General features: G+C 42.2%; 2 annotated features.

Annotated features, from left to right (window-relative positions):
* Window positions 3,865–3,914: an enhancer, noted in NCBI's record as "active region_8446". NCBI's record gives its function as "activates an Ori minimal core promoter by ATAC-STARR-seq in GM12878 lymphoblastoid cells {active_cell/tissue: GM12878}" and the evidence as "EXISTENCE:reporter gene assay evidence [ECO:0000049][PMID:35858748]".
* Window positions 3,955–4,154: an enhancer, noted in NCBI's record as "active region_8447". NCBI's record gives its function as "activates an Ori minimal core promoter by ATAC-STARR-seq in GM12878 lymphoblastoid cells {active_cell/tissue: GM12878}" and the evidence as "EXISTENCE:reporter gene assay evidence [ECO:0000049][PMID:35858748]".

Below are 4,310 nucleotides of genomic sequence, written 5' to 3' on the forward strand. Positions count from 1 at the left end.
AGGAGCTGGGAGGAAAGAATTATAGTCTCTGAATCTAATGGTAAAGAATGTGAACTCTAACAGGCAAAGGGTCAGAAACCCGATTTTAATCAAATTACCATAGGAGATACTGGAATAATGTCATATGGAAATACATATACTCTGAAATGATGGTGAACCTTTCTAGATAAGAAATTCTGTCCGGGCGCGGGATGCCTGTAATCCCAACACTTTGGGAGGCCAAGGCAGGTGGATCACGAGGTCAGGAGTTCGAGACCAGCCTGGCCAAAATAGTGACCCCCCCCCACCCCCACCCCCCCGTCCCCAACTACCGTCTCTACTAAAAATACAAAAACTTAGCCGATCATGGTGGCCGGCACCTGTAATCCCAGCTACTCGGGAGGCTGAGGCAGAAGAGTCGCTTGAACCCGGGAGGCGGAGGTTGCAGTGAGCCAATATCACGCCATTGTACTACAGCCTGGGCGACAGTGCGAGACTCCATATCAAAAAAAAAAAAAAAAAAAGAAAAAGAAATTCTTCTAATTTCTGTGATAATGGAGAGGGGTGTGGTGTTTATACTACTACTTAGCAGTGCAAGTTAAAGACCAATTTGTAAACCTGAAAATAACAAAGAATTCTTAGGATAGTATCCCCAAAGCACAGTATTTGGAAGCTAGAAACATTGGGCATCACATTTCCTGAGGTATTCAATTTAAAAATAACATATGTCATAAAATAGTATACATTTAGAGTTGTCTTGCTCTGTCGCCCAGGCTGGAGTGCAGTGGCATGAGGCTCACTACAACCTCCGCCTCCCGGGTTCAAGCAATTCTCCTGCCTCAGCCTCCCAAGTAGCTGGGACTACAGGCACCCGCCATCATGTCTGGCTAATTTTTGTAGAGACGGGATTCACCATGTTGGCCAGGCTGGTCTTGAACTCCTGACCTCAGATGATCCACCCGCCTAGGACTCCCAAAGGACTGGGATTACAGACATGGGCCACCACGCCTGGCCTTTTTTTCTTTTTTCTTTTGAGAGGGAGTCTCGCTGGGCTGGAGTGCAGTGGCGTGATCTCAGCTCACGGCAACCTCTGCCTCCCGGGTTCAAGCAATTCTCCTGCCTCAGCCTCAGCCTCAGCCTCCGGAGTAGCTGGGACTACAGGCATGCAACACCACGCCCAGCTAATTTTTGTATTTTTAGTAGAGACAGGGTTTCACCATGTTGGTCAGGCTGGTCTCAAACTCCTGACATCAGGTGATCCGCCTGCCTTGGCCTCCCAAAGTGCTGGGATTATAGGCGTGAGCCACCGCGCCCGGCCGAAAGAACCCCCAAATTCTTAATTATTAATAAATATTGAGTGCACTAGGCACTCAAATAGTGTTTATCACACACAAGTAATGATGTTAATTAAAAGATTAACTGATACCTAAACAAGTTTTGAGTACTTACGGTTTACCTCCAAGGCCAAACCTTCTGCAACTATTAACCTTTAGCTTTCTTCAACACTTTCTTGGACTATCTTGGTCTAAATCCGAACTCCCCAGGAAAGAACTGCAACTAGAGGCCAGGTGCAGTGGCTCACGCCTGTAATCCCAGCACTTTGGAAGGCCAAGGAGGGTGAATCACCTGAGGTCAGGAGTGTGAGATCAGCCTGGCCAACATGGTGAAACTCGGTCTCTACTAAAAATACAAAAACTAGCCTGGCATGGTGGTGCACACCTGTAATCCCAGCTACGCGGGCAGTTGAGGCAGAAGAATCGCTTGAACCCCGGGGGTCAGAGGTTGCAGTGAGCAGAGATCATGCCACTGCACTCCAGCCTGGGTGACAGAGCAAGATTCAGTCTCAAAAAAAAAAAAAAAAAACCACTTACAACTAGAATGTTTTAACGAGGGTTAGGTAAATTAAGTGGCTAGTCTTCCAAGTCATTCAAGTCCTTTTATCTATCGGTTTGTTCAAGAATAAAAACATCAATTGTAATGCTTCATTAGCAGGAAAAAGCAAAAGTAACTGAAATTCCTTTTTCCCCCTTACTTTCTATACCCAATTCTGCAAGCCCTATGTCTTAGCCCATATTCTGCTGCTATAACAGAATACCACAGACTAGGTAATTCATAAACAAGAAAAGTTTATTTGGCTCATGGTTTTAGAAGTCCAAGAGCATGGCACTGACATCTGGCAAGGGCATTGTGCTGTGTTATCCCATGACAGAGGATCAGAAGAGCAAGCGAATATGTGAGACAGAGAAAGCTGAAATCCAGTGAAACTCACCCCTTTATTAGGAACCCACTTCCAAGATAACTAACCCATTCTGAAAATGTCATTCATCCATAGTGCCCTCATGACCTAATCACCTCTTAAAGGCCCCACATCGCAATACCATTACATTGGCAATTAAATTTCAACACGTGTTTTGAAGGGGACATTCAAACCATAGCTCCCTACACATCTGAAATCCATCTACATATTTCCACCTCCACTGCCACCACTTTAGTCCAAATCACTCTCCATTACTGCTAGCTCACAAAAGTGCAATAACTTTCCAACTAGTATCCCTGCCTCTCTTCTTTCCCTTAGCTATCATTCTTCACACAGAAACAAGAGGTCATTTAATGATTTAAATCAAATCATATAATTCTCTTGCTTTAAAAACTCCTGATAACCTCACAGTAGAAAACCAATAATAAATGTGAAAAGAATGATGGAATTAGAAAATCACCATTTGGCAACCATTGTAATAATCAATTCAAATAAGAATCATCAGATATTAGAATTAATGAGTGAAATGTTGAGGCGTAAACAGGATGTGTACATATTCTCAAAGTATTTCCTCACAAGATACTAATTACAAAGGGAAAAATGAAACATTATCAGGGATAAATCTTCAGCAAGTGATCAAAGTTAACATTACCAGCAATAAAACAACTAACATCATGTCCCTTCTAATGTAATGCTCTGACATGAATGAATACAAGGTCATTTCTGTAGTATTCCTGCCATAAATGCATCACTTGAATCAAATAACAAAAAAATCAAACCTAAATTAAGGAATATTCTACAAAATAAATGGTTTGTATTCTTCAAAAGTGTTCATGCCATGAAAACTGAAGAAATACTAAGCAACTATTTTCCAGACTAAAGCAGATTGGAAACATGACAACTGAATGCAAGGTGTGATCTTGGATTTTCTTTTGCTATGAAGGACATTATTGGGCCATTTACCAAAAAAAAAAAAAAAATGCATAAAGTTGATAGATCATAGTATTGGTAATTTTCTGATTTTCACAATAATACTGTGTCTCTGTGAAATAATGTTCCTGTGTTGGGGGAAAATACACACTGACGTATTAATATTTAGGAGTAAAAAAAATGCTGATGCCCTATTTACAATCGGATTAAAATTCAAACCACTTCAAGATTTGGTCTCCTGTGCACTTGTTCTCTTCCTGTCATTCTTCCCCACTTAATCATTATGAGAGGTCACTCTGACGTGACAGTTCCCAGCGCAAGCCAAGTTTTTTACTGTTCCCTAAACCACTGTCTTTTGTTACCCTATTTTAGTTTAAATATCACTCACTCAGAAAGTCATTCCCTGAGCACACTGCCTAAAGTTAGTACCTCCATTGTCTATTAAAGCACTCTTTCTTCTTACTATTTTGCTTATTTATTGTTACCTATTTATTCCCACTGAATGGAAATTACATTAGAAATGGGGGTATGCTCTGTTCACGGCTTTTTCTTGAACACGTGGAATATACTAGCGCTCAAAAAATATCTTTAATCAGACTTATCTTTAACTCTTACCAAAAAGCGTTATACTCATAGAAAGAGCACTAATACTTCCGTAAAATTCTAAGCTGAATTCAAAGACGATACCCTTTAAGTGAAACTTCACGAGAGCCTGAGCACAAGGAGGTGAAGTGGATGCCATCAAGATTCTGGGTCAGGGTCGGGACGCGGAGGAAGACAGGTTACTTCGCGCCTACTGCTTTTTCTACTTTTTGTGAGAGTATACCAGCATCTCTCCCTTTGGCTTAAAGAAAGAATAAAGTGAGGAGAGAATAATAATATAAAAGATAAATAATAATTCCAAGGAAAGGAATAGAGCAGCTTCTCAGATACCACGACGCCAAGCGGCTCAAAGTACGCGAACCGAAGGAGGAGCCTTTGCTTTCCCCAACCCCGCCTCCATTGCTTCTGCACATGCGCGCCGCCAGCCTCTCGCGGCCCGCTTTTTTCCCACAATACTCCTCGTCCTGGGGGCCGGAGCCGCGGAACGAGCCACAGAGAAAAAGGTTATTGGTTGGCAGTTCAGCCAATGAGCGGGCCTGTT

This window comes from Homo sapiens, chromosome 14 (assembly GCF_000001405.40).
Source record: "Homo sapiens chromosome 14, GRCh38.p14 Primary Assembly".
NCBI classification, from domain to species: domain Eukaryota; kingdom Metazoa; phylum Chordata; class Mammalia; order Primates; family Hominidae; genus Homo; species Homo sapiens.